Consider the following 13,079-nt stretch of genomic DNA (forward strand, 5'->3'; position numbering starts at 1 on the left):
AAACAATGCTGGATTGTAATGACTGTGACAACTGAAGTCCCCCAGTACACACATGGATTTCAGTTCCACGTCTTCCCACTTCAGCTTTTGGGCTTCTTATTCCTGGTGATAAAAGGTCGTATGACTCTAACCGCAGAGCCAGGGTGGGACTTTTAAGAGACAGGGTCTTGATCTGTCATCCAGGCTGGAGTACAGTGGCACAAATCACAGCTCACTGCAGCCTCGACCTCCCAGGCTCAAGCAATCCCCTCACCTCAGCCTCCTGAGTGGCTGGGACTACAGGTGTGTGCCACCATGCTGGGCTAATTTTTAAAACTTTTTTTTTTTTTTTTGTAGAGATAGGGTCTTAACTATGTTGCCCAGGCTGGTTGCAAACTACTGGGCTCTAGTGGTCCTCCCACCTTGCCCTCCCAAAATGCTGAGATTACAGGCCTGAGCAACTCCACCTGGTGGATTCTTTTTAATTGAAACGTAATGTGGTACGTTTCAAGGCAGTGGAATATACACAGGGAATTAAGAGGCAGCCTCGTGGTGTGAATTTAAAGGTAATATGAAAACCAAGGTGGCTTGCCAGTACGCTGGGCAGAGCGAAGCAAGCCTCGGAAGTGGTGCTTGTTGGTGTACCTGGGTAGCCTGGCAGTGCGGCTTCGTGAGCCATCAGTAAGGAGGTTATATTCTCCCTAAAATAAAAAGGCCAGCAGCGGTACTCTGTGATTAGAGTCCAATTGAGGAGCTGCAGGAGTCATCGGGCGAGAGCCCAGTCTCAATGAGGCTGTGAGTGGCTTCACAGCTGGCCAGGAAACCTTTCAGAGGAGCTGTAATCAGACCAAACCACAGGGAGTCACAGCCATGCAGCCACAAGGCCTAGAATTTCTTAGTAATTGCTGATTATATGGAATTAGTCACTAAGAGAATTGTCTGCATATGTGATGTCTCTCATCCTCACCTTCCATTTACTTTTAACCCGTCAGGCTCTGTCTCCACTGACGTGGATCACTGAGCTCACCAGTGAGCTCCAAGTTGTTGCATCCAGCGGTCTGGTCCCTTCTGTCCTTTTCTTACCTGCCCGCATCACCTGCAGGGCTGACAGCCTCTTTGCTCATGGCTTGCACAAGGCCTCCAGAGCCTGATTTCGTTCTGCTTCATTGGCTGCTCCCTTTCTATACTCCATGACAAAATACTGGGTGTTGTTTAGGACTTGGGCCTGGCCTGTATTTTATCTTATCCTTTTCTCTAATGGACTCCCTCCATTCCCTTTTCCTAAAAACTTCCACACTCTTAATCTTCTGGCCTTTCCTTGGATCTCTGGACTTGTCTGTTTGCGGCCTCTTAACTGGCATCTGCGATTTCACATGTCCAGAGGATTACTTCCCAGATGACCTCCAACAGCCACTCTCTCTCCTGTGTTGGCTAATGGCACCACCTTTCAGCCAGTCACTCATTGGGCTCAGATCTCTCTGCCTTCTTGCAAAGGCAGTTTAAGTTACTTGGAGTAAGCCTTAACTCCTCCTCCCCTCATCCTTGACATCTGTTCAACAGCAAACTCTATCTGCCAAGTCTCATCCTGCCATTGTCACCACACCCAGGTCCAAGTGGTCATCACTTCTCACCCGGACAACCACAACAGCCTGCTAACTGGTTTCTCTGTCTCCTCCCCTGCATCCCTCTGCCCTGGTTTTCACACAGCAGCCCAGGTAACATTTCACATGACAGATCTGATCATGTTACTGTCCTTCACTGCCTTTCACCTACACGTGGAATAAACCCTGTGGTCTTGCCTGGACCTCTAAGGCCCTGCTTGACCTGAGTGCTACTTGCTGGGCCTTTGGGCTGCTGGAATCACCCTTGCCCTGATGGAATCCTGTAGGTCCTCAACACAGCCCTGCACAGCCAGGGCCTCTTCCGGATATGATTCTGCCTCTCTCCTCCTCATCTCAGCTTCAGTGTCACCTCCCAGAGAGGCCTAGACTGACCACCCATCTAAACTCATGTCCCAGAGCTAAGACATCACCACGCCTTACCATTTCCTTCATATTATTCATTGCAAACTAAAGTTACTTTATTGGAAAAAAAATCTCCACAGTGACTGTATCACATCATCCCGTTTCCTTCATGGTAATCACCACAATGTTTACTTATTTTTTAGAAAATCCAGGCAGCAGATAACAGCTGTCTCTAAGTCCTTTATAAGGATAACATCATTTCATTCCCACATAACCTTGGAAGTCAGTACTATCATGATTCTCATTTTTAAGGATGAGGAACTTTTTTTTTTTTTTTTTTTTTTTTTTTTTTTTTTTTTTTTTGAGATGGAGTCTCACTCTTTCGCCCGGTCTGAAGTGCAGTGGTGCGATCTTGGGCTCAACACAACCTCCAACCCCTAGGGTTCAAGTGATTCTCCTGCCTCAGCCTCCTGAGTAGCTGGGATTATAGGCACCTGTCACCATGCCCAGCTCATTTTTGTATTTTTAGTAGGGACAGGGTTTCACCATGTTGGCCAGGCCAGTCTTGAATTCCTAATTTCAGGTGATCCACCTGCCTTGGCCTCCGAAAGTACTAGGATTACAGGCGTGAGCCACCGCGCCTGGCCTATAGATGAGGAACTTAAGATTAGTCCCTGCAGAACTGGGACTCCCACCTGGGATTCTGTCTGCAGAGCCTGTGCCCTTACGCATCTCACTGGGTAGTAGCCTGTGATTCACAAAGGGAATACAGTAGAGTGCAAGATAAACAAGACCTCTGCTTAACAGTGCAGCCCTGCAGAACTAAGGCTCAAGTGTCCCCAGATAATGAGGTTCTGCAGGTATGTCGGTGGCTGTGTTTTGCCAGGAGTAGCAGCACAAGGACAACAGCAGTCTAACTTTTTTTTGCCCAGACTTTGCTATGAACATGTTTCTTGTCCAGGAAATCCATCTGGAGTTTTCACAGGCCTTGCCAGTGGCTGCTGGGTGTTCCAGTGCCCTCTACCACTCTGCCTTTATGAGGTCCCAGGCAAGGCCTTCTTCTCTTTGAGCTTTGGGGATGCTGGAGGGATGGCAAAAAAGTAAAATAAATCTCAATTACTCAAGCAACAACCCCTCCATCCCTTGAGTGAGCCTCAGTCTTCACCCTCTGTGCTTCTAGGCACTTGGCTCTGGGGCTCAGCAGTTTATTTGCGTGCTAATGAAGCCACAGGCACACTTTGTATTCCATTAATGTCCTGCAGACCCATGTGCTTTTATGGAATTCTAAGCACAACTTCCATTGCTTGATTGCTTTTATACATCAACCAAATATGAAGAATCAGCAAGTTTAAATAAAACAGCACCTTTTACAATAATGGTCCTCCTCATGAACCAGTGAAGATTCTGCTGCTTATTTGTTCAGTGGGGGCTCCCTTTTAAAAAGCACCCCACCCACTTCCCTTTTCATTTTATCCCACTCTTTGTGTGGCTCAAAAACAGTATTCATCCACAGCTGCTGAAATAGGGGTCAACTAGGGTCATCCTTTTTCCATTCAGGGACAAATGTTGGTTCCTACAAGTCTGGAAGTTTTCTACAGTTGGGTGGATGGTGTATGAACTTGGACATGGATTTGAACTCTGAGGAGTCTCGCTGGCTTTTTCGAAGGCACTGGTAACAGTCAAGGGCTCTGTGGGCCACTGATGGGTAAAGAGTAGTCAGGGCCGGGCACAGTGGCTCATGCCCGTAATCCCAGCACTTTGTGAGGTTGAGGCGGGCGGATCAGTTGAGCCTAGGAATTTGAGATCAGCCTGGGCAACATGGTGAAATCCTGTCTCTACTAAAAATACAAAAATTAGCCAGGCGTGGTGGTGTGCACCTGTAGTCCAAGCTACTTGGGAGGCTTAGGTGGGAGGACTGCTTGAGCCTGGGGAGGTTGAGTCTGCACAGAGCTGTGATTGTGCCACTATACTCCGGCCTGGATGACAGAGTGAGACCCTGTCTCAAAAAAGTACCAGAGAAGACTCAGAGAATAGCGGGAAGATACATGATGGAGGTGACTGAAGGAAGCTTCAAGATGGTAAGCATTCTGATTGGAAAGGATGAGGGAGAATCAGGGATAAAGCAAAGGGTGTGCTCTTGGAAAGATGAATTGTCCAGAGGGGCTGGACTACAGATCAAGCATGGGGAAACATTTGAAATATGGGCTAGGAAGTTAAGTTAGGGACCTACGGACAATCTTGAGTGCCAAGGCACTGAAGGTGCTTATGCAGAGCACCCTAATCCGAAGTGTGTTTTAAGGTATTCTGGCGGCAGAATCAAACTACAGAATGACCCATTAGGACACTACTCTCTGGGTTCTGAGGGTCAGTGCGATGGAAAGGAATGGAAGGGATTTTAAGGAATTATGACCTGCTGACGAGAGGTAGGGAGGGGAGACTTACAAGTTATAATCCTGGATCATTAGGAGAAGGGGATTTTTAACATAAATAGGAATTCATCAAAGGGCAGGAAGAAACAGAATTGTATTGGATGTGCTGTTTTGAGGCTTTAGCATATTTGGGTGGAGATGTCCAGTGGGCATGAGGTTGAGATAATTTAGGGACCATTTAGAAGGAACAGCTGAAGACATGAGAGTTGGAGTCATGTACTTGGCTGAGTAAACCACAATCCCTGGCCCTAAAAGGACTCTCTTTCTGTGTGGGGACTGAGGGTTAAGGAGGGGAGTTGGGGGTAGAACCAGGCATATTAAGAAATGAGCAATGAAATGTTCCATGGGAGAAGGAAATTCATGGCGCTAGGAACCAAAAAAGAAGTGGGAGAGGGTGTCATTTCTGCTGGGAGGTGGAGGATGGGAACATCCGGATCCATTTTACAGATAGCTGTAAGTCACCTGATGTGAATGTTTGGGGAATGGCATTGGGTGGGGCCAGGACAAAAGCAGATGCAAGACTGAAGCCCCAGAGGCGCAGAAGAGGAAGAGCAGTCTCACGGCAGGTGTGATCGATCACACTGACCAGACAAGGCCCTCCTGCCACTGGATATATCCTTACAGGGCTCTGGCACACAACCCTGTCTTCCAGCAGTGGCAGCTTGCCTACTTCTTATTCAGCAGAGAGGGGAAAGGAAGCCCTCTTCTGGTGGATGAGTCAGGGGCATCCTGTCCCTGGACAGAACGGCCACTGTGATTTGTCGATTGCCTTAACGTGGCATTTTACAGAACCATCTGGCAAACACGCAGACACAGATGGCATATTCCAGTTCCCTGGAGGGCTGGGCACAGCCCCTGGATGGTCGGTGACTAAATGACCGCAGCCTCCTGGAGGGCAGGGCGCTGACTCCTGCAGGTAGTATGTGAGGCTCGCCCCACCCTGCTCCTGGGTAGAGTGAAAGGCGAGTGCCTGTGAGGCAGCACCATGCTCTGCTCCTCACCATGGCTCAGGTGATGTATCATGGTGAGGAGCAGCGCACCTACTTCCTGCCTCCCAGCACTGAGGAAGCACAGATCCTTACTTTAAAAAGATATTTTTTACTTATTTATTTTTTAAAGACGAGATCTCGCTATGTTGCCCAGGCTGGATTTGAACTGGCCTCCAGGGATGCTCCTGCCTTGGCCTCCCCAGTAGCTGGAACTCCAGGTGTATGCAACAGCACCTGGCTCACTCAGATCCTTACCTTTTTATCAGCATGACTTAGGCTGACATATGCCATTGCTTCACAGCTCTGTGTGTTTAAGGAAGTCCGCCTCCCGCCATGGCACCTCATTTGCCTTTCGCACTGACAGACTAAGACATGGCTGTTTACTGGAGGCATAGAGGTTTCTCACTGCCCAGACCAGCCACACAGCAGGTAGTCTTCAGATAAACGAGTGGGCTCAGCTCACTCATCGGCAAGCAAGCCCAATGCTGCCAGCACATGTGGGGCACAAGGGGTCCCCATAGAGAATGTAGAAACATGCAGACTTCCCCACTGCCTCACTGTGTGACCTTGAGAGATCACTCAGCCTTGCCGTCCCACTCCGCGCCCCCCCCCCCAACCCACCCCAGGATCACATGGAGAGCAGCACCTGCTCCCGGCTGCCTCCCAAGAATATGACGGAGATGAACTAGTCTGCTCCTCTCAGCTGTGCTTGGGTCCCGAGGGCGGGCTGCACAAACACCATGTGAGTACAAAAAAGGAGTCATTTCTGAAAATTCCCTTATTTAGCTGCCTTTTTATAGATCACTTACTTGGTGGAAAGATCAGTCAAATTTTACTAGGACCAAGGGTGAGAGACAGATCTGAGATGGAGAAGGTTTTTACAGCACACAGGCTGGATGGACAAGAGAGAAAACAAAATACCCTGTTAAGAAAACATCTCGTGTGCCAGACTGGAAACCTGGTCATCCAGATGGGGTTTTATGGCAATACCACAGCCAACAAACTGCAATAAATGTTCACCGAAGTAGGGGGAACGAAATCAGACCAGATGGGAGTTATACATACAGTAAAGGCGGGGTGGCATGTAGCCTTGGTTTTGTTCCAAACAGAAGAAAGTTAGGAGAAGATACACTGAGAGAGCCAGGGCTGAGTGACAAGGGCTGGCCAGGTAAGGGGAGGTTGGGTTGGGGACAGTGTCATGACCCAGAACCAGTGACTGAAATGTCACAGGGCACCTTCCCTGGGATGGCTGGTTCTCCTTAAGGACAGCCCATGGCTTAGCCTCTTCCTCTTCCCTTAGCGACACCTGATCTTTTCAGTCTGGATGCCTGCGCCTACAGTTTTGGTGTCTGGCACCATCCTTTTTTCAAGGGAGAAATACTGCTGAAAATGCTGGTAAGATTCCCCCAGCTGACCTCAACCATAAGCTCGGCTGTGATTTAATACCTTCAAAAAAGGTGTTCGTTTCCATTTGATTTTTTAAAATAAAAACCTCAGGAATCATTTCATCAAGGTATATAATACAAACCCAAACTGCAGCCCTGAGGTGTGTATATTGTATCCCCTCATGAAGTGATGACCCCAGTTTCTAAGCTATATTTACAGTATCATTATGTTATTTTCCTTTTTCCTTTACCTCTGTAAGTTTGTTCTTGGCTCCATCCACCTGGGTCTTGATTAGAAATCCATGCTAACCAACTTAAGGCTGGTTATTGGAAATCCATTGTGACTGACAGAACAAATGAAGTCTCTTTATGTTTAGTCAGCACAATCTGCATCTTCCTTGTGCCAGCAAAGGCCTCTGAGGTTTGGGGAATTTGAAAAACTTAAGGGCTTAGCTTACAGATACAATATCCAAATGGCTCCCACTGGAAATAGCGAGTGGGATTTCCATCCCGTGTTTCTGGCACAGTTAAGTCATTAGGATTTGTTGAGGGCATTTTTCTGCGCAGCTTTTCTCTTCCCGCCCCAAGCAGAGCAACTGCCATTTAACTGCACGGCCAGAGGCTCTGGCAAAGTACAAACAGAGCTATTACAACTTGGAAGGAAAGACAAAAAGTGACAATAAATCAGGAAGGTAGTGAAGTTCCCCACAAGGCAACCTTCCATCCACCATCAGCTTGGAGGCCATCCTATAAACAGGCCCGCTGGATCAAGTGAGCTGACTGAAAATACACTGTACCCTTCCCCTCCAACCCTAAATCCCCAGAAATGGCAGGAAAGACATTTTTTAAAACCCCTGAGCATCTTAGAAAGGAGTGCTCTTTGTATATCAGAAATCATGCTCAATCATAAAAAATGAAAGGCAGATGTTTTCTTCTTCCTGAAGAGAAAACCACAATGCAAAATGAATGCAGAAAAATATTCTGCAAAAGGAAGAAGGGGATTCAGAGGTGCTCCAACCAGAGGTGTTGGCTACCAGAACAGGAGGGGACCAAATGCTTGGGTCAGATACGCAGACTAGAGGGCTGTTATTAGCCAGGAGACACAGAAAGCCCAGGAGACAGCTTCTGATATGACCCAGCTGACAGCACTTTGAAGGACCTGGCTACATTTTCTGGGTGGCAGACTGTAATAAGTAGAAGCAGGACTCTCAAATGGGATGGCCGGGTGCAGTGGCTCATGCCTGTAATCAGAGCACACTGTGAGGCCAAGGCGGTTGGATCACATGAGGTCAGGAGTTCAAGACCAGCCTGGCCAACATGGTGAAATCCCATCTCTACTAAAAATACAAAAAATTAGCCAGGTGTGGTGGCGTGTGCCTGTAGTGCCAGCTAACTTGGGAGGCTGAGGCAGGAGAATTGTTTGAACCTGGGAGACCGAGATTGCAGTGAGCCGAGATCGCACCACTGCACTCCAGCCTGGGCGACAGAGCGAGACTCTGTCTCAAAAAACAAAAACAAAACCTCTCGAACAGGTGACCTAGGAATTTAAAATACAAGAATGAACACACAAACAAGAACCGCTGAATATTTAAAGAAAGCAAACACCAAGAAAGAGTCACAAAACTCAACTATGAAAAGAATTACATGTGAAGAAACAGAATTAATACAGCAGACAAAAAAGATGAAGGAATTTAAGGGCCGGGCAGGGCACTGCATGCCTGTAATCCCAACATTTTGGGAGGCCAAGATGGGAAGATCACTTGAGCCCAGGAGTTTGAGACCAGCCTGGGCAACGTAGGGAGACCCTGTCTCAAAAAAAAAAAAAAAAAAAATTAGCCAGGTGTGGGGGCATGCACCTGTGGTCCTAGCTACTTGGGAGGCTGGGGTGGGAGGATCACTTGAGCCCAGGAGATTGAGGCTGCAGTGAGCTGTGATTGTGTCACTGCACTCCAGCCTGGGCAACAGAATGAGACCCTCTCTCAAAAAAAAAAAAAAAAAAAAAAAAATTTAAGCATTATAAAAATCCTCAAAGAGATGCATATCACTAAAAAAGAGATGACAGATTTAATCACCAAAATAACTCAACATATAGGTCAAACATCACAATGAACCTAACTAAAGAATAAATTAGTGAGCTGGAAAATTTAGCCAAAAAATCTGTCTCTCCAGAACTGCAACTATCTGATAGGGCAGCCACAACCATATGTGGCTCTTGAGAACTTGAAATGTCTGAATTTGAGATATGCTGAGGTGTAAAATACATACCAGGTTTTGAAAACTTGGTTAAAAAAAAATTTCATTAATAGTTTGAGAAAATATTGACTATATGTTAAAATAATGTAGACATATTATGTTAAATAAAATGTTATTAAAGGGAATTTCAGCTGTCTTTGTTCTTTTTAATGTGGCTACTAGAAAATTTACAAGTACATATGTGGTTCACATTACATTTCTGCTGGACAATGCTGCTGTAGCACCCGGGGAAAAAGCAGTGATGGAAAGAAGGTATGAAAAGTGGAGATACGGAAGACAGAGCTAGATGAATCAGCATCTGTTTCTCCTTGCAGGAGGAGATAAAGAACTGGGGGGCGGTGAGGGGAAAGAAACACTGAAATAATAGAGGAAAATTTCCCAGAACTAAATAAATACACAAAGCTTTTTCACACTACCAACGCTGAAGGAAAGTATTCCTGCTGAAGTTGGAAACAAGGTAAGAGTGCCTGTTTTCACCTCACTAGTTAACACTGTCCCGGAAGTTTCTAGCCAATGCAACAACATAACAGAAAAGGAAAGGAAGAGGAATTTTCCTATTCACTGATGAATCAATGACTGCCTAAGTGCTGTCTCTTAAGTGCTCTCTCTTCTCACTGTTTTGAAAGGCCTGGCACCAACAGGCCTTCTCCATTTCTGGCTTCCAAGACATGGGTAAAGTGGAACACATCAGCACCTTCTCCTTTTGGGAGCAGCAAAGAGAACTCAGAACAAAGTCTCCATGCCCAGGATAAACACCAGCTGGGGTGGGGAAAGGGTGCTTACCGACGAATGGCGTTGGTGAACTCCGCAGCCAGCTCATTCTCGCTGCACGTTGTCCTGAGTTCGGCTAGGGACAGAGCTGGGGAGGCAGCATCAGCACACTCCTGACAACAGCAAACACATTCCAGTTAGGCCTGAATCCAAGCCGGCAGCACCCTGGAAGCCTGCAGCAGAGCGCGGTAGGTGGCTCGTGCAGTGATGGCAGCAGTGTGGGCACCGGGTGGCGCCCTCAGGTCATGCCAAAGGGGAAAGCCTGGCAGCAAGCCAAAGAGGCCCCTCTGCTCCCAGACCGCTGGCTCCTTTTGCAGACTGGCCAGTGCGGTGGGGATGACACCCAGTATGCTCTGAGCAGCCGCTGATGCCAGGCACTGGTCTAAGCATGCCATATGCATTCAATCATTTAATCTCCACAAATACTCTCTGAGGCAGGAACTATCATTATCTCCATTTTACCAAGGAGGGAATGAAGGCACAGAGAAGTTATGCGGCCCAGTCACCAGCTAGGAAATGGGGGAACCAGGATTCAAACCCAAGCTGTGTGGCCACAGATCAATCTCTTGACCGCTAGGTAAAGCCTCTTGTAATCATACAAGACAAGTGAGAAATACCTGTGAATATCCTTGGTGCCCCATCCCACGTCTCCTTGGGAGAAAAGCAAACTCCTTTAGATTTAGGAGCCTTGCTGGGTTCAGTGTAATCATCAAGAAAACCCAGCAGAGGAGGAGGAAAACAGAAGTGCAGCCCACCCCATGGCTTAGCATTAGACAGGGACCTTGACATCATCTAAAGCAAATCATCCCACCCTGCAGATGAGGAAACTTAAGAGCCAGTGCTCCAAATCCTATAGTTAAGACTATTCAAAGCAGTGACCATGCCTGAGTGCTCTACATTCCATGCACAGAGAGGACAGCAGCCACACTACATAGTACCATGGCTGGGGGAAGGCATTCATCGGATGATCTCTCAACGGACATGAGTGCTACCAAGCTGCAGACCTGAGAATAAAAAGCTTGTGATCTGTTGCAGGAGATGGAATGTAAACAGATATTTTTTTGTTTGTTTTTTGAGATGGAGTTTTGCTCTCGTTGCCCAGGCTGGAGTGCAATGGCGTGATCTTGGCTCACTACAACTTCTGCCTCCTGGGTTCAAGCGATTCTCCCACCTCAGCCTCCCGAGTAGCTGGGATTACAGGCATGTGCCACCACGTCTGGCTAATTTTGTATTTTTAGTAGAGACGGGGTTTCTCCATGTTGGTCAGGCTGGTCTCAAACTCCTGACCTCAGGTAATCCACCCACCTTGGCCTCCCAAAGTGCTGGGATCACAGGCGTGAGCCACCGCACCTGGCCATAAACAGAAAATTTTATAAGATATGAGCTACAGAGAGGCACGAATTCAGTGCTGCAAGTCCAGGCATGTGGTCTCCCGAGGCAGTTCCTTGGCAGTGGCACTGCCAACACTTGAGTGCTCTTCCCTCTGCCATGCCCTCCACCTGGGCCGCCTTCCACCTCCTCTCCACCTACCTGCGCTCAGAGATCCAAGTCCCCTGTCCACCCTTGGAATCTGTTGAGATTCCCACAATACCCTCACTTTTTGTATATCCATTCCCATTTGATGTTAACATTTCGTGAGACTCCTTAAAGACAGGGACTGCTCTGTCTCATTCACGGTGCCTCTCACTGAATATACTTGGCAGTATCTGGTGCACACAGACGAGAATTTCAAAACCTAACGCAACTTGGATAAGATTTGGAATCCAGCTGTGCTAGTTGGAGGGAAGCTTTTTAAAGAAGCATAAGCACCCACCCAGTGGAGCAAGAAAAAAGGTTCAAGACTCAAATGTGGCCCGCCAGCTGCTTTTTATGACCCACAGGATAAGAATGGTTTTCCTATTTTTAAAATCATTTTAAAAAGTCAAAAGAAGAGTATTCTGTGACAGGTAGAAATTATATGAAATTTAAATGTCAGCATCCATACATAAAGTATTACTAGAGGCCAGGCACAGTGGCTCACGCCTGTAATCTCAGCACTTTGGGAGGCCAAGGCAGGTAGATCACTTGATGTCAGGAGTTTGAGACCAGCCTGACCAACATGGTGAAAACTCATCTCTACTAAAAATACAAAATTAACCAGGCATGGTGGCGCACACCTGTAGTCCCAGATAATTGGGAGGCTGAGGCAGGAGAATCACTTGAACCTGGTAGGTGGAGGCTGCTGTGAGCTGAGATCGCACCACTGCACTCCAGCCTGGGCAACAAGAGTGAAACTCCATCTCAAAAAAAAAAAAAAAAATTAAATAAAGTGCTACTAGAACACAGCCATGGCCACTGGTCTCCCTGTTGCCTCTGCTTTTGCGCTAGCATTGGACAATAGCAAAGCTGAGTGGCTGCAGCTGCACCCAAATGACCCACAAGCTCTACAACATTCACTGTGTGACCCTTCACAGAAAAGTGCTGACCCCTTCTCTAGATGCTCGCCTCATCCAGCAACAGCTAAGACCAGATGAATAGCCCAGATGGGAGATTTTATTCCAACAGTAAATGGATCTAGTATTTGAAAGGCAAGATAATCAGCTTATTTCATTACCTGAAAAACACAACATACTCTTATAAAGGTTCTTACTGTAGTGTTAAAAAAAAATCATCTGGCCTTTTCCATAGGATAAATTTTCTTACTTTTTTTTTTTGAGACAGAGTCTGACTCTGTCGCCCAGGCTGTGGTGCGGCTGCACGACCTTGGGTCACTGCAACTTCCGCCTCCCAGGTTCAAGCAGTTCTTGTGCCGCAGCCTCCCGAGTAGCTGGGATTACAGGCGCCACCACCATGCCCGGCTAATTTTTGTATTTTTAGTAGAGATGGGGTTTCACCATGTTGGTGATGCTGGTCTTGAACTCCTGACCTCAAGTGATCCACCCGCCTCGGGTTCCCAAAGTACTGGGATTATAGGTATCAGCCACCACGTCCAGCCAAATTTCCTTACTTTGAAGCCACTCCACATAACAGTATTTCACCCAGTCAAAATAAATACCAGGAACTAGGGGAAAATGCTCAGTTCATGGGCCTTCTGGCAAGAACCTGGTAACTCCATTCCTACCACACCCCAAGAACACACACAAACACTAGCGCTCTGTCTCTAACTGACTGCTAACAAACTCAAAAGGCAAAAAAAAAAAAAAAAAAAAAAAAAAGAGAGAGATTTTGAAGGTGTTTGTATGGAACCTCATCTTCCCGAGCCCCAGATACTTCCATGTGAACCCAGATACAGTACCGCATGGCTGATGCCCACCTGCACAGCCTGACTCA

The 13,079-nt window shown here is 47.2% G+C and overlaps 1 protein-coding gene across 2 annotated transcripts in view, besides 2 other annotated features; it reads right to left on the minus strand.

Annotated features, from left to right (window-relative positions):
• Positions 1-13,079, minus strand: part of MCC (MCC regulator of Wnt signaling pathway) — a 466,348-nt gene that overhangs the window by 11,642 nt on the left and 441,627 nt on the right. For both annotated transcript variants that reach the window (NM_001085377.2, NM_002387.3), the window contains one exon: positions 9,783-9,883. In NM_001085377.2, the coding sequence (NP_001078846.2) occupies positions 9,783-9,883 (101 nt within the window). The remainder of the gene's footprint in view (positions 1-9,782; positions 9,884-13,079) is intronic.
• Positions 526-1,084: an enhancer, noted in NCBI's record as "OCT4-NANOG hESC enhancer chr5:112369970-112370528 (GRCh37/hg19 assembly coordinates)". NCBI's record gives its function as "activates a minimal SCP1, AML or CMV promoter by ChIP-STARR-seq in naive and primed H9 embryonic stem cells {active_cell/tissue: H9 hESC(naive and primed)}" and the evidence as "EXISTENCE:reporter gene assay evidence [ECO:0000049][PMID:30033119]".
• Positions 9,959-10,497: an enhancer, noted in NCBI's record as "H3K4me1 hESC enhancer chr5:112379403-112379941 (GRCh37/hg19 assembly coordinates)". NCBI's record gives its function as "activates a minimal SCP1, AML or CMV promoter by ChIP-STARR-seq in primed H9 embryonic stem cells {active_cell/tissue: H9 hESC(primed)}" and the evidence as "EXISTENCE:reporter gene assay evidence [ECO:0000049][PMID:30033119]".

This window comes from Homo sapiens, chromosome 5, assembly GCF_000001405.40.
Source record: "Homo sapiens chromosome 5, GRCh38.p14 Primary Assembly".
Classification (NCBI taxonomy): Eukaryota; Metazoa; Chordata; class Mammalia; order Primates; family Hominidae; genus Homo; species Homo sapiens.